A 24081-nucleotide genomic window follows, 5' to 3' on the forward strand; every position below is an offset into this window, starting at 1 on the left:
GGCCGGGTGCAGTGGCTCAATCCTGTAATCCCAGCACTTTGGGAAGCCGAGGCGGGCGGATCACAAGGTCAAGAGATCGAGACCATCCTGGCTAACACGGTGAAACCCCATCTCTACTGAAAATACAAAAAATAAGCTGGGTGTGGTGGCGCACACCTGTAATCCCAGCTACTCGGGAGGCTGAGGCAGGAGAATTGCTTGAACCTGGGAGGCGGAGCTTGCAGTGAGCCGAGATCGTGCCATTGCACTCCAGCCTGGGTAACAAAGCGAGGCTCCGTCTCAATAAATAGATAAATAAATAAAGTGTTGTCAGGGATGTGTGTAAGACTCATAAATTGCTGGTGGGAGTATAAATTTGTACAAGCAATTTGGAAAAACAGTAACTACTAAAATTGAACAAATGCACTCTCCATCACCCAGCAATTCTACTCCAGTTACATGCCCAGCAGAAGCAGAGGTAAATGCACACTGAGAATGTAGAAGGATGTTGGACAACATCATTATTTGCAATAGCCCAAACAAGGAACAACCCAAATGGCCCTCGACAGTAGAATAAATGTATAAACTGTGGTATATTCACATCGCGGATCAGTATACAGCATAGAAAATGGACAAACTCCTGTATGAATCTTACAAACATAATGGTGAGACAATGAAGCTAGAGATAAAATAGGACGTACTAGGTGCGTCCTAATTTTTGTATTTTTAGTAGAGACGGGGTTTCACCATGTTGACCAGGCCGGTTTCGAACTCCTGACCTCAAGTGATCTGCCCACCTCGGCCTCCCAAAGTGTTTGGATTACAGGCATGAGCCACTGTGCCTGGCCCCTTGCCAACACTTTATGTTGTCCTTTTTTAGTTTTAGCCATTTGGAGGGCATGCTGTGGGGTCTCTTTGTGGCCTTAGTTTTTTAATTTTTAAATATTTGTTGTAGAGACAGGGTCCCACGATATTGCTCAGCCTGACTTAAACTCCTAGCTCCAAGCAATCCTCTCACCTTGGCTCCCAAACTGCTGGGATTACTGGTGTGAGCCACCGCGTCTGGCCTGTGGTCTTAGTTTTGATTTCCTTGGTGGCTATTGTGGTTGAGCATCTTTTCACATGTTTAGTGGCATCTTCTTTTCAATAGTAACTGTTCCAATCTTTAAAAATTGCAATGATGGATTTTTAAATTAATTGATTTGTCTCAGTTCTATACGTATTCTAGATGCCAGACCTTTACTGGGTATAATTATTGAGATACCTTCTCTCTGGCTGTCTTGGCAGCTTAGTGGTTGGGAAAAGCCTCTAGAGGAAACAAGCTGAGCATTGGGGTCCCCTCGCCAGACTTCCCTTTTCCCAGGGATTTTAGTCCAAGATCACAGTGTCTGAGTAAGCTCTTTAATGACTCCCAAACATATGAATTGTGTATTTTTTTTTTTTTTTTTGAGACAGGGTCTCGCTCTGTCACCCAGGCTGGAGTGCAGTGGTGTGATCTCGGCTCACTGCAACATCCACCACCCAGGTTCAAGTGATTCTCCTGCCTCAGCCTCCCGAGTAGCTAGGACTACAGATACCCATCACCACACCCGGCTAATTTTTGTATTTTTAGTAGAGATGGAGTTTCACCATGTTGGCCAGGCTAGTCCCAAGCTCCTGACCTCAAGTAATCCATCCATCTTGGCCCCCCAAAGTGCTGAGATTACAGGCATGAGTCACCGTGCCCGGCCCGCATTGTGTATGCTTAATATTTTATCGAGATTTCCTCTTTGTTTTCTGCATCATAAGGGTTGGTCTAATATAAGCATTTCCTCCATCTCCATAATAGCATAATTCATGAAGCATAATTTCATGGATGGTACATTTCAAAGGAAAGTCATAGAATGGAGAAGTATGTGTGATATCCTAAGGGTATGCTGGGCACAAACAGAGGTAAACTCTTTTTCTGGGCTGGACTGAAGGGTGGGAGCTGGAATAGGAGAAGACAAGAAGAGTTTAGACAATCGCTATGTGGGGTTCTGTCCTGTGACCTTGGGCCTTGTCCAAGGGGATGGAGATAATATAACTAGAGAAAAGTTTGAAGATCCCAAAGCAATATCGCAAGGTTAGTCCTGTGATACTGTGGGCCTCTTTGGGAAGCCCCATCTAGTAGAATGGTGAAGTAAAAAAAGAAAACAAAAAAAGCCAGTGCTAGACTAAGAGCCAGAGGCTACCTGTCAAGTCTTGTTCCTGTGGAAGGGGAGCTTCCAGAACCAGTCTGCCCCCTAAAGCAAGCCACAGAGCTAGGCTGAAAATGGCCTGAGAGCCTGGAAGAAGCCTCCAGGTTGAGATAGGAGGACTGAGCCTTTAGGGGCCTATTGATGGGAGCCCATGGTGGGCTGGTAGTAGATGCCAAGTCCAGGCAGTCCGGACCACAGGGAGGAGTGAGGCAAGTATGCCAATCAGATATCCCTCACATCAGGCTGGCCTTGCCCTGGTTCTTTCTTTCTTTGTTTTTGAGACGGAGTCTTGCTCTGTCACCCAGGCTGGAGTGCAGTGGCACAATCTCCATTCACTGCAACCTCCACCTCCTGGGTTCAAGCAATTCTCATGCCTCAGCCTCCTGACTAGCTGGGATTATAGGCATGTGGCACCACGCCCAGCTAGCTTTTTTTTTTTTTTTAACATGGAGTCTTACTTCGTCACCCAGGCATGAGTGCGGTGGCGTGATCTCGGCTCACTGCAACCTCTGCCTCCCGGGTTCAAGCAATTCTTTTGCCTCAGCCTCCTTGGTAGCTGGAACCACAGGCGCGTGCCACCATGCCTGGCTATTTTTTGTATTTTTAGTAGAGACAGGGTTTTGCCATGTTGGCCAGGCTGGTCTCGAACTCCTGACCTCAAGTGATCTGCCTGCCTTGGCCTCCCAAAGTGCTGGGATTACAGGCGTGAGCCACTGTGCCCAGCTTTGCTCTGGTTCTTTTTTTTTTTTTTTTTTTTTTGAGGCGGAATCTCACTCTGTCGCCCAGGCTGAAGTGCAGTGGCGCGATCTCAGCTCGCTGCAAGCTCTGCCTCCTGGGTTCACGCCATTCTCCTGACTCAGCCTCCTGAGTAGCTGGGACTACATGCGCCCGCCACCACGCCCAGCTAATTTTTTGTATTTTTAGTAGAGACGGGATTTCACCACGTTAGCCAGGATGATCTCGATCTCCTGACCTCGTGATCCACCTGCCTCGGCCTCCCAAAGTGCTGGGATTACAGGCTTGAGCCACCGCGCCCAGCCTTTTTTTTTTTCTTTTTGAGACAGAGTCTTGCTCTGTCGCCCCAGGCTGGAGTGTAGTGGTGGCGCAATCTCAGCTCACTGCAACCTCTGCCTCCCGAGTTCAAGCGATTCTCTTGTCTCAGCCTCCCAAGTAGCTAGAACTACAGGTGCACACCACCATGCCCAGCTAATTTTTGTATTTTTTAGTAGAGAGAGGGTTTCATTATATTGGTCAGGCTGGTCTTGAACTCCTGACCTTAGGCAATCCACCCACCTCAGCCTCCCAAAGTGCTGATATTACAGGCTTGAGCCACCGCACCCAGCCACCCTGGTTCTTAAGAACACTCTCACCCACTCCATACACAACCTCCTCCTAGAGAGAAGAGGAGAACGATCAAGGAACTGGGGAGAATCCTGAATTGACGGGATGACTATCTAAAAGAGACCAGAAGCCTGGCCAACATAGTGAAACCCTGTCTCTACTAAAAATATAAAAATTAGCCAGGTGTGGTGGCACACGTTTGTAATCCCAGCTACTTGGGAGGCTGAGGCAGGAGGGTTGCTTGAACCTGGGAGGCAGAGGTTGCAGTGAACCAAGATCGCCCCACTGCACTCTAGCCTGGGCCACAGAGTGAGTCTACATCTCAAAAAAAAAAAGACTAGAGTTTTCAAGGGAAAGGGACTGCGTTTCTTTGGGAGTGAGTATTTAGTATTCTACCACTGATGACAGGTTGAACTGTGTCACCCCAAAACATAAACAGAAGCCCTAACCCCCATACCTGTGAATGTGTCCTTATGTGGAAATAGGGTCTTTGAAGATGTAATCAAGTTAGGATGAGGTCATTAGGGTGAGCCCCGATCCAAAATAACCAGTGTCCTTGTAAGAAGAGAAGAGGCCCTACCAACACTTTGATTTTAGACTTCTGGCCCGCAGAACTGTGCAACAGCACATTGCTGTTGTTCTGTGCCACCCAGTTTGCTATAATTTATTGCAGCACCCCTAGCAAACTCATACAACTCCTAAGTGGAAATGGAGGCTGGTGAACTCAATTGAGTTCAGTTATGGAAAAAGCAAGACAATCACACTTCTGTGCCTGTCCCCACATATTAAACTCTGTCTTTGAACCTATATTTTCTTTTCATATCACCTTTGGATTCATGTGACCTTGTCTGTAATCTCAATCTCCTTGTCACGCCTGTAATCTCAGAACTTTGGGAGGCTGAGGTAGGAGGATCACTGGAGGCCAAGAATTTGAGACCAGCCTGGGCAACATAGCGAGACCCCCTCTCTACAACAAATACAGAAACTAGCTGGGTGCAGTGGGGCCCACCTGCAGTTCCAGCTACTCAGGAGGCTGAGGCAGGAGGATCACTTGAGCCCAGGCTTTGGAATCTGCAGTGAGCTATGACTATAGCATTGCACTCCAGCCTGGATGACAGAGCAAGACCCTGTCTCAAACAAACAAACAAACAAACAAACAAACAAAAAACACAGCATTACAGACACATGGAGAGCAGAATGCCATGTGACTACAGAGACGGGTTGCAGTGGCGCATCACAAACCAAGGAACACCGACAGTTAGCAACCACTGGAAGCCAGGAGAAAGGTCTGGAACAGGTTCTCCTCAAGAGCCTTTGGAGAACGCATGGCCCTACCGACACTTTGATTTCAGACTTCTGGCCTGCAGAACTGTGCGACAGTACATTGCTGTTGTTCTATGCCACCTAGTTTGCTATAATTTATTGCAGCACCCCTAGCAAACTCATACAACTCCTAACTGGAAATGGAGGCTGGTGAACTCAATTTTCAGTTATGGAAAAAGCAAGACAATCACACTTCTGTGCCTGTCCCCACCTATTAAACTCTGGCTTGGAACCTACATTTTCTTTTCGTATCACCTTTGGATTCATGTGACCTTGTCCGCAGTGTGCTGACTTGCCTCTCTCCACCTGGGAATTCCCCAAGTTTCGATATGCACAGGTATCAGCTGCCTTGTGTACATTAATACAGGAAGTGTTAGGAGGCGTTTGCTCTTCTGGTTCTATTTCATTAAGCAAGCTGAAGCTGGCTGGAGTCAGAATTTACAGGGACCAAGGAATTAGATACAGCTCACAGCCATGTGTACTTTGCAGTGAAAAATAACTCAGGCCAAGGTCTCACCAGGAAGGGAATTGCTGAAAGTACTTTATGCAATTACAATATTTTCTCCTATAAATGTGTATCATCAGTGCTGATCTTCTGTGCGATGGAAGGGCTCTGGGACCTCCTCCTCGATTAACTTGCCTTCTCTGCTTCTAACAGTGTCTGAGATTACAGCATGCATCATCATTCCTTCGGCTCTCAAAGACATTGTCAGTTTTTCAATTAAAGCACAAATATCCCCCGAGAAAGTTCACAGCTTAAGCTCTTAGCAACAGCCAACTGTTGTTTACTGTGGGGATTCTATCCTGGGACCTGGAGGAGATGCTGAAGATGTAAAGGGAGACGGCACCAACTTCCCAACGTGGCCTAGGACTAGGCCATCGTAATCATCGACAGCCAAGATTTAATAAACATCCATGTAGCAACAGTGATAATTAACTTGGAAATCTTCAGCTTTAATTTCAAAATAGAAAGGAGTTCATTAATACAATGAAGAGTCTTATGTTTCCCACAGGGCTGGAGGTCAGGCCCATCTACTCTGTGATGAGCTGCAGTCTCTGTATATGTGCTTCTCTTTTTCAAGCCTCGGAGTAGTTCTCACTGTGAAATGGGATAATAATATTACCTATCTCATTAGGACGTTATGAGATGCAGACGAGATAAATTATCTAAAGAATTGAGCCCAGTGCTTGGCATGGAACAAACACTCAATAAACATTAGTGAATGTTCTCTCCTTTTGTTAATACATAGTGAGCTTCTCCGTGTAGTGGCAGTTTCATGCTAATTGTGTTTTTCCACAGTGTTCAGAGCTATGCTGTTAGTATGAAGTAAGGGATCAGTTCATCAAAACGCATTCAGTTCAGGCATGATGGCTCACACCTGTAATCCCAACACTTTGGGATGCCAAAAGGAGAGGATGGCTTGGGCCCAGGAGTTCCAGGTTTCAGTGAGCTGTGATTGTGCCAATGTGTCACCCTCCAGCCTGGGTGACAGAGCGAGACCCTGTCTCTGAAAAAAAAAAAAAAAAAAAAAAAAAGAGCATTCAAGTTCCCACATAGTGTGTGTTCTTCACATTTGAAACTGTAGTCCCAGCTGCTTGGGAGGCTGAGGCAGGAGAATGGCGTGAACCCGGGAGGAGGAGCTTGCAGTGAGTGGAGATCGCGCCACTGCACTCCAGCCTGGACAACAGAGCAAGACTCTGTCTCAAAAAAAATAAAATAAAATAAAGGCCAGGCACGGTGGCTCACGCCTGTAATCCCAACACTTTGTGAGGCCGAGGTGGGCAGATCACGAGGTCAAGAGATCGAGACCATCCTGGCCAACATGGTGAAACCCCGTCTCTACTAAAATTACCAAAAAAAAAAATTAGCTGGGTGTGGTGGCACATGCCTGTAGTCCCAGCTACTCGGGAGGCTGAGGCAGGAGAATTGCTTGAACCTGGGAAGCGGAGCTTGCAGTGAGCTGAGATCGCACCACTGCACTCCAACCTGGTGACAGAGTGACACTCTGTCTTAAAAAAAAAAAAAGAAAAGAAAAGAAAAAAAGAAACTATGCTAAAGTAGGCTGGGTGCAGTGGTTCACACCTATAATCCCAGCATGTTGGGAGGCTGAGGTGGGAGGATCACTTGAGCCCAGGAGTGATATAACATGAACCCGTCTCTATAAAAAAATTTAAAAAAAATATGCCAAAGTGAAATAAAGAATCAGGATGACAGAAACTCTTTCACTGTTTTTATTTTATTTTTATTGAGATGGAGTTTCGCTCTCGTCGTCCAGGCTAGAGTGAAGTAGTGGGATTTTGGCTCACTGCGACCTCCGCCTCCTGGGTTCAAGCCATTCTCTTGCCTCAGCCTCCCGAGCAGCCGGGATTACAGGCGCCTGCCACCATGCCTTGCTAATTTTTGTAATTTTAGTAGAGACGGGGTTTCACCATGTTGGCCAAGATGGTCTTGAACCCTTGACCTCAGGTGATTCACCTGCCTTGGCCTCCCAAAGTGCTGGGATTATAGGCATGAGCCACCGTGCCTGACTGGAGCCACCATGCCTAGCAAATTGTTTTTATCTTACATAACAGATCGTACTTACTGTGGCTTTACAAATATTAACTCATTTCATTCCCATATGTTTCCATCAGGTAAATTGTATTATCCCCATTTCACACATGGGGAAACTGAGGCACTGAGTGTTAAGCCATTTCCTGAGGTCACGAACCTAGCATAAGAAGTGAAGCCAGTGAAGAGAAGATGATGAATGGGTGTAAGTACACAGTTTGATGGAAGAAATGAGACCTAGTGTTTGATAGATCATTCGGGTGGCTATAGTTTACAATAATCTATTGCATATTTCAGAATTACTGGAAGAAAATAATGTGAATCACGAGGTCAGGAAATTGAGACCATCCTGGTTAACACGGTGAAATCCCATCTCTACTAAAAATACAAAAAATTAGCCAGGCATGGTGGCAGGTGCCTGTAGTCCCAGCTACTCGGGAGGCTGAGGCAGGAGAATGGCGTGAACTCGGGAGGTGGAGCTTGCAGTGAGCCGAGATTGCACCACTGCACTCCAGCCTGGATGACAGAGTGAGACTCTGTCTCAAAAAAAAAAAAAAGAAAAAAAGAAAAAAAAAAGGGTGATGGATATTCCCAAGTACACTGATTTGATCTTTACAAATTATATGAATGTATTAAATTATCACATGTGCATCTATTACATATCAAGTTTTAAAAATTAAGGAAAAAAGTAAAGCCAACATTTAAACCAGACCTTGTGACTCCAGTTGGGGCTAACTGCGCCGTGCTCTGTGCGCTCATGTGTGCACACGGAGGCTTCGCCTTTCATTATGCTGACTTTCACTGTTCTTGCAAATGTGTGGTGGTCAGAGCTTTGTAAACATTTCTTAGTGTAATCACATATGGGATGATAGCCATCTGGCCAGGAAAAAAGGGGATTAATTTTTTGTTTTTATTGAGATGGGGTCTTGCTCTGTCACACAGGCTGAAGTGCAGTGGTGCCATCATAGCTCACCGCAGCCTCAACCTCCTGGGCTCAAGGGATCCTCCTGCCTTGGCTTCCCACAGTGTTGGGATTACAGGCATGAGTCATCATGCCCAGCTGGGATCGGATTTTTATATATATATATATATATATATATATTTTTTTTTTTTTTTTTTTTTTTTTTTGAGACAGGGTCTTGCTCTGTCACCCAGGCTGGAGTGCAGTGGTGTGATTTTGGCTTACCACAACCTCCACCTCCAGGGTTCAAGCGGATTCTCGTGCCTCAGCCTCTGGAGTAGCTGGGATCACAGGCTTGTGCCACCACGCCTGGCTAATTTTTATATTTTTAGTAGAGACAGGATTTCACCATGTTGGTCAGGCTGGTCTCGAACTCCTGACTTCAAGTAATCCACCTGCCTCGGCCTCCCAAAGTGCTGGGATTACAGATGTGAGCCACTGCGCCCGGCCAATAATATCCTTTCTTGTCATAGAAAATTGTAGTTTAGGCCAGGTGTGGTGGCTCATGCCTGTAATCCCATCACTTTGGGAGGCCGAGGCGGGTGGATCATGAGGTCAGGAGTTCAAGACTAGCCTGGCCAATATGGTAAAACCCCGTCTCTACTAAAAAATACAGAAATTAGCCAGGCATGGTGGCAGGCACCTGTAGTCCCAGCTGCTCAGGAGGCTGAGGCAGGAGAATCCACTTGAACCCAGGAGGCAGAGGTGGGAGTGAGCTGAGATCGTGCCACTGCACTCAGCCTGGGTGGCTCAGCCAGAGCGAGACTCCATCTCAAAAAAAAAAAAAAAAAAGAAAGAAAAAGAAAAAAAGAAAATTGTAGTTTAACAAATAAATTTTCTAAAATGTACAGTAGACTGGGTTAAGCTCTTTAACCAAATCCTAAATTGCTTTTGCATCCTATTATGGCATTGCTAGGAGTGTGCATTTGCAGATGATGGAAAAAGACAGCCTGAGGTGAGAAGAGGGGAGGAAAGGAGCTCTCTGCACTGAGTGTCTGTTTAGCCTCTCCTTCTCAGGGCTGCTGCTTTAAAACAGGTTGTCTGTTTTTGCTGGGGAATTCCATAAATGAAAGGTGTTTGCTGAGAGTCTCATCCTAAATGACATGAAAGACTTACAAAATATGGAAAGAGTAGGGAAGCCACTGCAGGTGTTAATGGGAGTTTTAAATAATCTAGAGGACCACATTTTATTTATTTTATTTTTTATTTTCTGTTTGAGACAGAATTTCGCTTTTGTTGCCCAGGCCGGAGTGCAATGGTGTGATCTCGGCTCACCGCAACCTCCGCCTCCCGGATTCAAGCCATTCTCCTGCCTCAGCCTCCTGAGTAGCTGGGATTATAGGCGTGCACCATTACACCCAGCTAATTTTGTATTTTTAGTAGAGACAGGGTTTCTCCACGTTGGTCAGGTTGGCCTTGAACTCCTGACCTCAGGTGATCGGCCCGCCTCGGCCTCCCAAAGTACTGGGATTACAGGAGTGAGCCACCATGCCCCACTGAGGAGTACGTTTTAATGTCGAGCGATTTTAAATTATTTTTTATGGAACACTGTGCTTTACAGTGTTATGATACAAATCTAACCTTTGAGCCAGTCCTATAGAAAACTATATCTAATTTAAAAGCTTGAATTTGGATTTTAGAATGTGTGACCTCTTTAAAGCTTATAATTAGAAAGTTTGGTAAAAAGCAAACAACAGCTGCAAGTTTAAGGTATTGCTACTCAAACTGAAGACAATAACGATTCATTAATTCATATCTCCATTAATTCAAAAGTATTTATACTATCTGGTAAGACAAAATTTAAAAAGCAGATTTTTGTTTTCTGCATGATGCCATTTTTCCATTTTTTTCACTAAAGTTTGTAAAATTAAGAAAAAAATGAGGCCGGGCGTGGTGGCTCACGCCTGTAATCCCAGCACTTTGGGAGGCCAAGGTGGGTGGATCACCTGAGGTCAGGAGTTCGAGACCATCCTGGCCAACATGGTGAAACCCCGTCTCTACTAAAAATACAAAAGTTAGCCAGGTGTGGTGGCTCTTGCCTGTAGTCCCATCTACTTGGGAGGCTGAGGCACGAGAATCGCTTGAACCCGGGAGGTAGAGGTTGCAGTGAGTCGAGATCATGCCACTGCACTCCAGCCTGGGCAATAGAGTGTGATTCAGTCTCAAAGAAAAAAAAAAAAAAGAAATAGTATAAGGCTATTAAGAGAACCACGTAAGTCTATATGTATTGACATGCAAATATTATTTATTTCACATAATAGGTATATATGATACATTTGATGAATATTTACTATAATTGCTACATGATACCCTGAGACTTTATTTTTCTTCCTTTTAAGATATATTAAACCCAGAAGAAATTGGACTTCATATAAATACGAGCTCAAGTTCAGGTTTAGCTCATTTAATACCCCAGCTTTGAAATGAAAACCCCCAAATTCTATATCATTGCCAAATCATAACACTTTTTGAGGAAGTCCATGATGGTTCGTGTGTCCCAATTCAACCACACACCATGACACCGAAACAGACCTCATAGCTCTTTTACAAGTAGGTAAAAGCTGGCTGAAGTCCATTGTCTAGGTAGTTTAATTTCAAAAATTACTTCCCTTCAAAAGATCCTGTCTGTAATCCAGATGGCTCTATGCCAACCCTTAACTTCAAATGTGGCTAAAGTTATCTTTGTCTGCAAGCAGAAGTATTGACTGTTTTTCTTCCCTTCCTACACACTTAGAAATGTGACCACCGAAAGTACTGGGGTCCAAACTCCAGACTCCAATACTTTCCATGATAATAAGAAGCATTTATAGAACAGTAAGTTAGGAAGACTGTGCTGCTGAGGGCAGAGTGGAAATGACTGAGTTGGCTGGGTGCGGTGGCTCATGCCTGTAATCCCAGCACTTTGGGAGGCCGAGGTGGGTGGATCATGAGGTCAAGTTTGAGACCAGCCTGACCAACGTGGTGAAACCCCTTCTGTACTAAAAATATAAAAAATTAGCTGGGCGTGGTGGCACGTGCCTGTAATCCCAGCTACTCAGGAGACTGAGGCAGGAGAATTGCTTGAACCCAGGAGGTGGAGGTTGCAGTGAGCCGAGATCATGCCACTGCACTCCAGCCTGGGCAACAGAGCGAGACTCCTCCATGTCAGAAAAAAAGAAAAAAGAAAAAGAAATGACTGAGTAGAAGTGTGGAGGCTTGGAAGGAAGTCAAAGGAATTCAGGACAAGTCCAACGGGAGAAAGCTTCCACGAAGTCCAAGAACAAGTTTAATGGGTGAAGGAATTGGAAAACTAGAGCTTAGCATCATAAAGGGAAATTTGAGAGAAAAGGTGCGCTCATATGGTGTAAGTTTTGCATTTCACAGTAAGTTTATTAGTTCAGCAAACACATTTCCTATACAGAGGGCTCCCATGAAAATAAATACCAACGATGTAACTTGGTGAACAGAGGTAATATCTTTTTTTTTTTTTTTTTTTTGAGACAGAGTTTTGCTCCTGTCGCCCAGGCTGGAGTGCAATGGCGCGATCTAGGCTCACTGCAACCTCCGCCTCCCAGGTTCAAGCGATTCTCCTGCCTCAGCCTCCCGAGTAGCTGGGACTACAGGCGCCCGCCACCACGCCCGGCTAATTTTGTGTTTTTAGTAGAGACGGGGTTCCTCCATGTTGGTCAGGCTGGTCTCAAACTCCCGACCTCAGGTGATCCGCCCACCTCGGCCTCCCAAAGTGCTCGGATTATAGGAGTGAGCCACCGCACCTGGCCTAGAGGTAATATCTTTAAGGTATATAGCATAATAGGTACTTCATTTTGATTTAGAAAGTATTGACTTCTGTGTTTTCAGATATGTTTATCAAGTTAACTGGATTCGTTCTCACACTGCTATACAGAAATACCTGAGACTAGGTACTTCATAAAGAAAAGAGGTTTAATTGGCTCATGGTTCTGCAGGCTGTACAGGAAACATGGCGGCTTCTGCTTGGCTTCTGGGGAGGCCTCAGGGAACTTACAATCATGGCAGAAGGCGAAGGGGAAGCAGGCAAGTCTTAAGTGGCGGGAGCAGGAGAAAGAGAGATATGGGGGAAAGGTGCCACACGCTTTTAAGCAACCAGATGTTGTGAGAACTCACTCACTACACAGTACTAATGGGGGACGGTACTAAACCATTCATGAGAACTCTGCCCCACGATCCAGTCATCTCTCACCAGGCCCTGCCTCCAACACTGGGGATCACGATTTGACATGAGATTTGGGTGGGGACACAGATCCAAACTATATTACTAACTATAAATGATGAAAAACGAAGCAAACTTAACATCAGTTTTTATCAACTTAAAACAACCAATATCACAGGTAACTTTTTTTTTTTGGGTGGAAGATTATTTATTTATATATTTTTTATTGTACTTTAAGTTCTAGGGTACGTGTGCACAACGTGCAGGTTTGTTACATAATGTATACATGTGCCATGTTGGTGTGCTGCACCCATTAACTCATCATTTACATTAGGTGTTTCTCCTAATGCTATCCCTTCCCACTCCCCCCACCCCACAGCAGGCCCCCGTGTGTGCTCTTCCCCTTCCATCACAGGTAACTTTTTAAAAGGATTTATGTTTTGAGGGTAAAGGCCAAGGTGAAAAGTCTTTTGCTATGTCCCGTAGGGTATCTGCATGTGGGGTACACAGGAGCCAGGCTAGTGCATGAGCAACTTGGGCTGCTGCGCCCAAAACTCCCTCGCAAATTTAAGAATGGCACGCTTCCCAGGAAGCACTGAGGACCACTGTCTCCTCTTCAGAGATGCCTGGAGATGCTTTCCAGCTAAGGAATCGGATAGAGACAATACTGGTCCTGGCCAGGAGTCTCTGTAGTCCCATCCAAGGTTTTTAGTTCTGGAATCTTGAGCAGTTGTCTAAACAAAACATAGATCTTTTATCATGGTGTAGTAATCCTAGCAGGTAACCTTTCGTTTTTTAGTATTCCTTCAAAGATACATATATTAGACTCTAGTAATTTGTTGGTGGGAAGGACAGCTGGTAAAATAAATCCAAGAGAAAGAAAGAAAACACTTGTGTGCACCCACATGCCTGTTCCTTCAACTACACACCATATGCACATGCAAATGGTTTGAAGGCAATGGAGGGTGGATCGAATTTTGGGCTAAACGCAGCTTTTTGGAATTCCAGTCACACCTACCTCTTTCTTTCAGGGATTTGAAAAATGCGGTGAAGTGAATCAAGCGGGCTCCTGAGCGCCAGCTGAGAGGCTCATTTGTATTGGGCCAAGTGATCTTCAGGAGGGAGAATTGCAGCCTTCCTCCAAGAGGCTGTGCTCTAGGAATTTCAACTACAGAAGTAGCCTGACCCATTGGCAGAACTGTCTGCCTCTGCTGGAGAGACGGCTGGACTTGAGCCTGTGCAATCTTCACCCCTTGGCTAGATCTTGAGGCGTGGGAGAGGCAGACTGTGTAGTAGCCTGTTACCATGATGGGGAATTAAGCAGTAGAAATGCAGTTAGTAAAAGTAACCATTGCTGGATCCTAGTTCTCTTCTACAAACAGGCTGTAAGACTGTATTTGAGAGGGGCCGGGCACGGTGGCTCACACACGTAATCCCAGCACTTTGGGAGGCCGAGTCAGGTAGATCACCTGAGGTCAGGAGTTTGAGACCAGCTTGGTCAACATGGTGAAACCCCGTCTCTACTAAAAATACAAAAAATTAGCTGGTTGTGGCGGTGCACACCTGTAATCCCAGCTACTGGGGAGGCTGAAGCAGGAGAATCGCTTGAACCCGGGAGACGAAGTTCACAGTGAGTGGAGATCGCGCCATTGCACTCCAGCCTGGGAAACAAGAGTGAAACTCCGTCTCAAAAAAACAGAAACAGGACAGTATTTGAGCTCCTTAGAGACAGGCATTGAATGGCATAATTTTTTGCCGGTATTGCCATTGTGTGGGTGTGGTGAAGGTCCTTTCTGTAGCCGGCGGTGCCCAGGCTGAGGCAGAGAGTTTACGTGGCAGCAAGACTCTTCCTTCAGGTGTTGTGAACAAGAGTTAATATTGCTTCAAAGAATTGTCCAAAAGTGACGGTGGTGTGTTAAGGAACCTCTCTTTGAGGCAGAACTCAGAGGAAGGATAACTTGTCTGTTGAAACTAAGAGACAAGTACTTGAATACTTTCTGGTCCTGGGAAGCTTCTGGAAACCAATTCAATGCCCCAAACACTGATAGGCACCTTCCATATATGTCAGGAAATATACTAAGTGATCAGGGATAGACAGATGAGTTGGGCATGATCCCTTCCCTCACAGAGTTTAGATCTGGGTAATCCAGGTCTAAAGACTCTGCAAGAGAATATGACAAAATGTTTACCTCTTGATAGTGAGATTACAGCTAATATTATTATTAATAATTTTTTTTTTTTTGAGACGGAATCTTACTCTGTTGCCCAGGCTGAAGTGCAGTGGTGTGATCTCGGCTCACTGCAACCTCCATCTCCTGGGTTCAAGTGATTCTCCTGCCTCAGCCTCCAAAGTAGCTGGGATTACAGGCACACGCCACCATACCCAGCTAATTTTTGGTATTTTTAGTAGAAACAGGGTTTCACCATCTTGGCCAGGCTGGTCTCGAACTCATGACCTCATGATCCACCCGCCTTGGCCTCCCAAAGTGCTGGGATTACAGGCATGAGCCACCGCGTCCAGCCTATTATTATTAAATTTTTTAGGACATAATAGGATACTGTAGCTGAGTAGTTTTGAAGCCTTGGTGGTTATCAAGTGAGTGGATGTTGAGGAAAGTGGGGCTGCCTTTTAAAACATGCTGCTCTTTTTGTCTTTGCAAGGGGTAGAAATTTGAATTTGTCTTTGGGGGTAGATTCTTCTGTAATTCCCTTCTGGTTCCTTAGCCTTCTGTCAAGTTTTGTTGACTCTCACCTCTTGGTCTTACCTGTGAAAACTAGGAGAGGAGGCACCCTGTGCCTCCAGGTGAGGCGAAGCCCTTGGGGTAGGAATGCATAGAGACAATTGCAGCCAAGGGAGTCATGGACAGGAACAAAACTGCCGGCTGAGGGACACGTGCCAGCAAGGAGAGACGTGTAGCAATGTTAGTATTCATCTGGAATGTGCTGGAAGAGTTTGGGAGGGGAAACTGGATGATGCCTGGACTTCCTGAGCCTGTAGAATATGCTGGTTAGTGGATCATGGTCTCTTAGCCCCAGGTTCATCCTTTTCACCTTCTCTGTAAAAATGAATCTGGGCTTTATTATTATTATTATTATTATTATTATTATTATTATTTGAGATGGAGTCTCACTCTGTTGCCCGGAGTGGAGTGCAGTGGCATGATGTCGGCTCACTGCAGCCTCTGTCTCCTGGGTTCAAGCGATTCTCTTGCCTCAGCCCCCCGAGTAGCTGGGATTACAGGTGCACGTCAGCACAGCTGGCTAATTTTTGTATTTTTAGTAGAGATGGGGTCTCACCACATTGGCCAGGATGGTATTATTATTATTTTTTGAGACAGAATCTCACTGTCACCCAGGCTGGAGTGCAGTGGTGTGATCTCAGCTCACTGCAACCTCTACCCCCCGGGTTCAAGGGATTCTCCTGCCTCAGCATCCTGAGTAGCTGGGATTACAGGCGCGCGCCACCATGCCTGGCTAATTTTTGTTTTTTTAGTACAGATGGGGTTTTGCCATGTTGGCCAGGCTGGTCTTGAACTCCTGACCTCAGGTGATCCACCTGCCTCGGCCCCCTGAAGTGCTGGGATTACAGGCATGAGCCACTGCACCCAGCCAGATCTAGACCTTTTAAACAACTGCCTTTGCCAGCTGGCTTGTTGTTAAGCATAGTGGACATGGGGCATGGGAGAGACACTGCAGGAGGACAGAGCTTTGCCTCCGGGTTGCCAAGCTTCTGCTCAGCAGGCTCCTGCAGCTTGGGAGGCTTCTCTGGGAGCATCCAGAAGCCACCTGTTTCTTCCAGAACCCTGCTTTTGTAGGTGCATTTGTAGTGAAAAGCCTCCATGAGACGCCTCCCTGTGAACAGCTTTCTTCATACTCTAAAGGGTAGATATCCAGCAAGTTCTAAAGGTTGGATTACCAGCAAGTTCCACTGGAAGACACCTCAGTGACCTCTCTGCCATTTAGTGAACCATAGCTGTGCCCTCCCCAACAGGGTCTGGGTCTCAACCCCAGGGGAAGGAGAAGCTTCCCTTGGGTGCACTCTCTCAGCCCTGGGGCAATGACTGCTCCTTCAGTCCTTCCATCTGCTGTTCCTATTTTCTTTTCTTTTCTTTTTTTTTTTTTTTTTTGCGACGGAGTTTCCCTATTGGAATGCAATGGCGTGACCTTGGCTCACCGCAACCTCCACCTCCCGGGTTCAAGCGAATCTCCTGCCTCAGCCTCCCAAGTAGCTGGGATTACAGGCATATGCCACTATCCCCGGCTAATTTTGTATTTTTGGTAGAGACAGGGTTTCTCCATGTTGGTCAGGCTGGTCTCTAACTCCCGACCTCAGGTGATCTGCCCGCCTCGGCCTCCCAAAATGCTGGGATTACAGGCATGAGCCACTGCGCCTGGCCTGCTCTTCCCATTTTCTTTTGTCTTTCTTACTAACCTAGTCAATCCCCCACTACTCCAAGTCCCGTTATAGTTAATAATTCTTTGTATTAAACTTTCACTGTTGAAATCATTGTGTAGCCTCTCTCTTGGTTGGACCCATATGTACACACGTGGGTGGTATGGGAGCTCAGACTCTGGTTACTTGGCTGTCAAGGGATGGTGTCTCACAAGAGGAGAGGAATTAGAGCCATCTGGGTTCTATATATTTTTTCAAGTTTGTACAACAAACATGTTACTTTTATAATCAGAAAAATATTTTAAAATAGTGCGAAAAATGCAATAAAAGAAGCAAGAAAAATAAACACATACCAGCACCCCCCCACCCCCCGTCTCAGTGTGGTAGGTGTGAGTCAGAAGTAAGAAGTAAATAAGTGTTGGCCGGGCGCCATGGCTCACACCCTAATCCCAACACTTTGGGAGGCTGTGGGCAGATCACTAGAGGTCAGGGGTTCGAGACCAGCCTGGCCAACATGGTGAAACTCCGTGTCTACTAACAGTACAGAAATTATCTGGGTGTGGCGGTGCATGCCTGTAGTCCCAGCTACTTGGGAGGCTGAGGCAGGATCACTTGAACCCGGGAGGTGGAGGTTGAGCGAGCTGAGATCGTGCCGCTGCACTCCAGCCTGGGCGACAGAGACAGACTCCATCTCAAAACAAAGCAAGCACCGCCCCCCCCCACCCCACCCACAAAACAGTAAATAAATGTCAAGGAAGAAAAGGTCTTTGGAGGTGATGCTTGAATTGAGCATGGAAGAGTGAGTGGAGTGGGAAGATATTTTCCTAGGCAGAGCCAAGTGCGCAAAGATGCAGACAAGACCAGGGGAGGGCCTACAGAGTGGGAGGGGCCAGTCACTACTAGTTCGGTGTGTACAGAGCCTGTGGTGGTTGAGGGTGGAGAGCAGGTCTGTCCGATCCCCGCAAAGCCTGGAGGCTTCCTTTTGATACTGGGTGTGTTGTGGGAAAGCTGATTTCATTTGTCTTTTTGACTCACAGTTCTCCACGGATCTCCCGTTACGGAGACTGGGTCGTATTCACGCACTGCACCTAACTGACCAGGGCCCTGGCTGCTGTGCTCTGAACTCCAGCACTGGGATTGTGCCCAACGCCACCCTTCCCACCTGGCCGCTCCCAGCCAAGGACTGGTGGCGGCATGGACACGAAGGCAGGCAGGTTCCGGGGAGAATCGGGATCCCCATGATGCGTAATTTTGGCTGAAGGGCTCACGGATGATCTTGCTGAGCTTTTCTTAGACTGCAGGGAGGCCGGGATGGGTGCTTCCCTCCCTCCTTCACTTGGGCTCTGATTTGCAGAAGGTCCGGCCCTCTCCAGCTCTCACGGCTCCCTCCTCATTTAGTTCCACGGCCATTTCCCCCAAGAAAACCCTCCGCATCTAGTCCTGAGTGGGCGCTGCTTCTCGTAGGACCCACCCTAACACATGGCCTGCATCTACCTTCCCTTCCCTCTCCTCTCCAGGGTGCAGCCTTTTTCAAGGCGAGGAGAGTGATTCCAGGCAGCTTTCATTCCTGGGTCTCCTTAGCTCCCTCGCCCTTCCCAGCATCTGGGCCCACTGGGCCACTCAGGCTTTTCTAATAAAAATCGCAGCTTTGGCCCAGTGCGGTGGCTCACGCCTGTAAGCCCAGCACTTTGGGAGGCCGAGGCGGGTGGATCACCTGAGGTCGGGAGTTCGAGACCAGCCTGACTAACATGATGAAACCCCCATCTCTACTAAAAATACAAAATTAGCCGGGCGTGGTGGCGCGTGCCTGTAGTCCCAGCTACTCGGGAGGCTGAGGCAGGAGAATCGCTTCAACCCAGGAGGCGGAGGTTGCGGTGAGCCGAGATCACGCCATTGCACTCCAGCCTGGGCAACAAGAGCGAAACTCAGTCTGAAAAAATAATAATAAAAATCGCAGCTTCTCCACCTGGAAAGTCCCAATTCGACTGGGTCTTGGAGTGCCGACTCGATTGCCATCTCCGCTGCGAAGCCATCTCCTCTCAGAAGGGGAAGGAGATGGAAAGTCTCTGCGGCCGCTGACCTCAGTTTTGCGTGCCTTTCCTCGGTGGGACCCGGGAAGAGCCGTCTTTAAATTCCTTGGGGAAGGGACGGGGTCGCACTGGCGCATCGCATCCCCGGTAGCGGGCAGAGCCCCCAGCTCACAGTGAGCGCGTGCTCGATGTTTCTTGAATTGTTTTATTTGTGTTGTTCCAAAGAAAGCGCGAGGGACATGGTCCGGGACCAGCCGGGAGCTGGCGCGGGGGTCCTGGGCCTGACGCTGGGCGGGGCTGGGGCGTGTCCGGGGCGGGGCGGGGCGGGAGGTGCGGTCGCGGCTCGGGCCTGGCAGGCGCTGCGCGCGGGGCTGGGGCAGCGGTAACCGTAACTGTGGCCGCGGCCGCCGCAGGCGCACAGCGCGCGTCCAAGTGGAGAACAAAGTGACCCCCAGAACTTCTCCAACTCCTCCCGGCGTTCCCGCGAGGGCCACGCGCCGAGGGTAGCGGAGGGCGGCGCGCGACCGGCCCCACCGAGCCCGGCGCGCGACCCGAGGTAAGGGGCGCCCGGGTGAGGGCGCAGGAGGGCGACGACCCGCGCTGGTTGGCGGCGGCTCCAGGTCCCCTGCGGGCGGGGCGGCGCGCGGCCGGCGGTCCCCTCCCTTCCCCTTTGTTGGCCGCCCCTCTCTGCCCCCGCTTTCCTGGGAGTCCCGCGGAAGGTCGCGGCTGCGGGGCGCGGCCTGGCACCCTCTCCCCGGAGGGCGGCAGCGTCCGGGCACAGCCTGGCACGGGGGACGAAGCACTTTCCAGAAGGCTCTGAAACTAGGTCCCCTGGTCCCCTCGCGCTGCGCGACACGCCAGGACCCACTTTCAGCCCCGGTCCCATCCCGGATGGGAGGAGGCGGCGCCCCGGCCTCCTGATACCGAGGTTCTCGCCCAAAGCCGAGCCGTGGGTGCCCGGAGGGGAGCGCCCGCTGCGCCCACGCCCGCCCGGCGACCTCGGAGCCTCAGAAAGGCGCTGCGGCGAAGCAGGATCCCAGGCGGTCGGCTCAGCGAGTGTAGACCGTGCGGTCCCTGCTCAGCCCCTCCGGCCTTTCCGAGCGCGGGAGCCATCCCGGACGGGCGCGGCTCCTGGGGGGGCTGAGGTGCCAAGTTTCTGTGAAAGCCGACACGTTGTGCCCCTAATGGATCCTATTTACCAAAAACAGTTCAGAAAGAAAAGAGTCCATTCTTCCAGCCATTCGTTGCTGACAGCCGCTGGAAAGGTCTGGGAGTAACATTGCACGAGGTATTTCTATCTTTAAGGAGCGGCGAAATTTAATATTGATGAGCTTGCATGCCGTTTTTTTAAAATAGACAAATAGGTTAACTTTATTTAAAGAGGGAGAAGGCTGCTTGATTCCAAAGATAATTTCATTCAGGGGGAGGTTTTCCTGCTTTTCTCTGCAGAATTCAGGCAAGAGGCCACTTGGTGACACTCCTCAGCCTCCTTGGGTAATGGTGAGACCTTTATTTACTATGCGATGAAGGGCCTGGGATTCTCTTCTCATGGTTATTCACACATTCTACCTTTTGCTCCCCAAATGATGCTGACCACCTTATTTTAACAGACAACACCGGCTATCTCCAGTTCTCTTTCCAATAGATTTAAGCCAGAGTGTCTCTAAAATCTTACCAAGTTTCGTACAGGTGCGGATCATATGCTATAAATGTTTCAGTCCTAGGCTCTGGATAAAAAAGTGTCCATGGTTTTATAATTTGGGCTTAACCAGTAGAACTTGTGTGTATACACTCTTAGAAGTATTTCCTGATGTGCTTAAGATTGTTATGTTTTAAAAATATAGTATCATGATTGGTGCAGTTTTGTAAGCAAACTTTTGTTCCACCGGATTTTACCTGCTCACTTTATAGGAAAATAAAACTTGTTGCTTTAGGGTGTCAGAGGTTTTTGTGTTGGGTAAATGTAAAAGAACATGGCAAGGTATAACTGAAGAAGAGTTTATTATTTACTGTGGCAAAACACGCCCCTAATGACCTCAGAATCAGCTTTCAACACCTTCACATACCATACTAAGATGCTTCATAATGTGGCACCTGCCTGCCTTTCCAGTTCCATCTACTGACTTTCCCCAGGCCTCCTGGCTCTCCCCCGCTTGCACACTGCCTGCTCTAGACACACCAAGCTACTCAGAAGTTGTTATTTCCAGACCATTGTTTGGAATGAATGAAATTCTGCTTACACTGTTCTTACTCCTCTTGCCCATCTGTCAATTACCCACGCATTCTTAATGTGTCAGTCAAATACCTTCTCTAGGAAGCTTTTCTTCCTTATCCGTAGGCGAAGTTAAGCTCCTCCTCCTCCAGTAGTCAGTGCTTCTACTAGAACACATTTTTGTATATACCTCTGGCACTGCCACCTTGCACAGTTGTTCAGGCTGTTCACTACACAAGGTCATCTTGTCCAACAGGCAATTGGAGGCTGAAATCCGATTCACACTCCACTTGCCAAGCCTCTAGTGCGCTCCTCTCCATTGGAGAGGATACATTTGGCAATTTAACCAAAAGTACAGTATGGGTTAGTAGTGACCCTAAGCCTATCCCCACTACTGTACTTAGCATCCATCACTTCAACTGATGTAATAGGAGCTCAGTTAAGGTTCCTAGGTTCCGTGAACGAGTGAAGAAAGAATGGATTTTTTTTTTTTTTTTTTTTTTTTTTTTTGAGACAGGATCTCCCTTTGTTGACCAGGCTGGAGTGCAGTGATATGATCTCAGCTCACCGCAGCCTCAGCCTCCCCAGCTCAATTGATCTTCCTTCTCTGCCTTCCAAGTAGCTGGACTACAGACGCGTGCCACCACACCTGGCTAATTAAAAACATTTTGTAGAGAGGGGGTTTCGCCATGTTGCCCAGGCTGGTCTCAAACACCTGAGCTCAAGTGATCCACCCTCCTCAGCCTCCCAAAGTGCTGGGATTGTAGGCATGAGCCACCGTGTCCGGCCAGAAAAGATTACTTCTCACGAACTCTAGAAAGAAGTAAGAGTTTGGGGGCAGATTTTTTTTGTATAAGTCAGTATACAGAAATCTGCTTCAGTTTGCTTTATCTTATGTCTGGGCTGTTCAAATGATGCTTAGACAGATGTCTTCTCCTTGATTACAGGGAAGAATCTGCGAGTGTGAATTCATGGGTGGGCGTCAGGGATTTGTGTCAACATGTGGTGCTTTGTCAGCTGATGACTTTTCTAGCCACTCAGGTTTACGTGTCTAATCGTGATTTGCTAAGAGAGATAAGGGGGCAAGAAACTTGCAAGTAAGGCCCTAAAGAGCTTTGCTCGCATAAACATGTGCTAATAAATTGCATTGGAGTGCCGTTTTGTATATAAGAATTTAAGCCATCCTAAAGTGAGATGTCACAGAATTAAACTAAGAAAGTAAGAAGGGTTTGAGTCTGATTTATTTAGGATCTCCAATGAGATCAGTATTTAATATCACAGTTTTATGCATGAAAAATGCAGTTTTCATTGGGAAGGGGCCATTTGCAAGCTGAATTGGCTGCAAGAGTTGTAAAAATGCTCCAAATTTTGTATGTAGTTAAAAATTAACAATTTGTGGGGTGATCTGGTGGCATTTTTCAAGCTACAATCAATATGTGAATTATCATGCAAGCATTTATAAGATTGTGATATAAAATTATATACTTGTAGATGTCAAAAGTGTTTGCTAGTTATATGGAATCTTGGAATCTCTAGAATTCATAACATTGGAATAACTTTAAGGATAATATGGATCAATTCTCCCATTTTATGGGTAAGGAAACTGAGTCCCAGGAACTTATCCAGGGTCACTGAGCTTGTGTAGAGGCATAGCCAGGACGAGCTTTCAGATTTCCTGGCTTCGACTTCATATTCAAGTACCTATAAGAACAGCCTTCTGTATATTCCATCATTGGCCTCACTTGGGAAATCTTGAAAGTATAGGCTTAATTTTAAGATCTCAGGGAAAGAAAAGATTTTCAGTGCCAAACACAATGCCCTGGGTAAAGTAGGCATGTGATAAATATTTGCTGAATGGAGGAATGAATGAACAAACCCGATGACAACTTCCTTATTTAAAGTAATTGATAAGAAATGATGCAAAGTCCATTTGGAGTGGAATTTGGCCCATGTGTTTGTATTTCTTAAATGCCATAAAAAGTATTGGTTAAACTTTATGGGAAAGATGGGCATCTCTATTATATATTCAAAGACATTTGATATGCTATAGGAAAATTAATTAATTAATTAATTAATTTTTTTGAGACAGAGTCTCGCTCTGTCACCCAGGTTGGAGTGCAGTGGCGATCTCAGCTCACTGCAACCTCCATCTCCTGAGTTCAAGCGATTCTCCTGCCTCAGCCTCCCGAGTAGCTGGGATTGCACCCACCACCACACCTGGCTAATTTTTGTATTTTTAGTAGAGATGGGGTTTTGCCATGTTGGCCAGGCTGGTCTCGAACTCCTGACCTCAGGTGATCCACCTGCCTCGGACTCCCAAAGTGCTGGGATTACAGGCGTGAGCCACCGCTCCTGGCCAGGAAAAATAATTTTTATTTCTTTATTATTTTCTATAGGAGAAGTTAGAACTCCTAACAGAAAAGCGTAATGAAAAAGCTCAGGATTTGGAATCACTAAGTTTGTCTGAAAACTAGCTTTGCTTCTGCAGACCATAAATGTCACCGGCCTCAGTTTCTTGTAACTTCTTTTTTTATTTTTTTTTGAGACGGAGTCTCACTCTGTAGCCCAGGCTGGAGTGCTGTGGTGCCATCTTGGCTCACTGCAACTTCTGCCTCCCGGGTCCTGGTTCAAGCAATTCTCCTGCCTCAGCCTCCCGAGTAGCTGGGATTACAGGTACGTGCCACCATGCCCAGCTAATTTTTGCATTTTTAGTACAGACGGGGTTTCTCCATGTTGGTCAGGTTGGTCTTGAACTCCTGACCTTGTGATCCGCCCGCCTCGGCCTCCCAAAGTGCTGGGATTACAGGTGTGAGCCACCGCGCCCAACCTCTTGTAACTCCTTAAATCTTAGAGTTGTTACAAAGATCAAATGAGCTGAAGTGCATGAAAGCACTTTGCAAACTT

General features: G+C 47.1%; 1 protein-coding gene across 1 annotated transcript in view, besides 6 other annotated features; it reads left to right on the forward strand.

Annotated features, from left to right (window-relative positions):
• Window positions 5061-5120: an enhancer, noted in NCBI's record as "active region_25298". NCBI's record gives its function as "activates an Ori minimal core promoter by ATAC-STARR-seq in GM12878 lymphoblastoid cells {active_cell/tissue: GM12878}" and the evidence as "EXISTENCE:reporter gene assay evidence [ECO:0000049][PMID:35858748]".
• Window positions 5221-5320: an enhancer, noted in NCBI's record as "active region_25299". NCBI's record gives its function as "activates an Ori minimal core promoter by ATAC-STARR-seq in GM12878 lymphoblastoid cells {active_cell/tissue: GM12878}" and the evidence as "EXISTENCE:reporter gene assay evidence [ECO:0000049][PMID:35858748]".
• Window positions 19238-19845: an enhancer, noted in NCBI's record as "H3K27ac-H3K4me1 hESC enhancer chr6:155316343-155316950 (GRCh37/hg19 assembly coordinates)". NCBI's record gives its function as "activates a minimal SCP1, AML or CMV promoter by ChIP-STARR-seq in primed H9 embryonic stem cells {active_cell/tissue: H9 hESC(primed)}" and the evidence as "EXISTENCE:reporter gene assay evidence [ECO:0000049][PMID:30033119]".
• Window positions 19292-19431: a silencer, noted in NCBI's record as "silent region_17700". NCBI's record gives its function as "represses an Ori minimal core promoter by ATAC-STARR-seq in GM12878 lymphoblastoid cells {active_cell/tissue: GM12878}" and the evidence as "EXISTENCE:reporter gene assay evidence [ECO:0000049][PMID:35858748]".
• The window catches only part of TIAM2 (TIAM Rac1 associated GEF 2), a 262409-nt gene continuing 257671 nt past the window's right edge, over window positions 19344-24081 (forward strand). Inside the window, exon 1 of the mRNA NM_012454.4 lies at window positions 19344-19521. The gene's annotated coding sequence lies outside the window, so the exon portion shown is untranslated. The remainder of the gene's footprint in view (window positions 19522-24081) is intronic.
• Window positions 19522-19601: a silencer, noted in NCBI's record as "silent region_17701". NCBI's record gives its function as "represses an Ori minimal core promoter by ATAC-STARR-seq in GM12878 lymphoblastoid cells {active_cell/tissue: GM12878}" and the evidence as "EXISTENCE:reporter gene assay evidence [ECO:0000049][PMID:35858748]".
• Window positions 19846-20451: an enhancer, noted in NCBI's record as "H3K27ac-H3K4me1 hESC enhancer chr6:155316951-155317556 (GRCh37/hg19 assembly coordinates)". NCBI's record gives its function as "activates a minimal SCP1, AML or CMV promoter by ChIP-STARR-seq in primed H9 embryonic stem cells {active_cell/tissue: H9 hESC(primed)}" and the evidence as "EXISTENCE:reporter gene assay evidence [ECO:0000049][PMID:30033119]".

Source organism: Homo sapiens, chromosome 6, assembly GCF_000001405.40.
Source record: "Homo sapiens chromosome 6, GRCh38.p14 Primary Assembly".
NCBI lineage: Eukaryota > Metazoa > Chordata > Mammalia > Primates > Hominidae > Homo > Homo sapiens.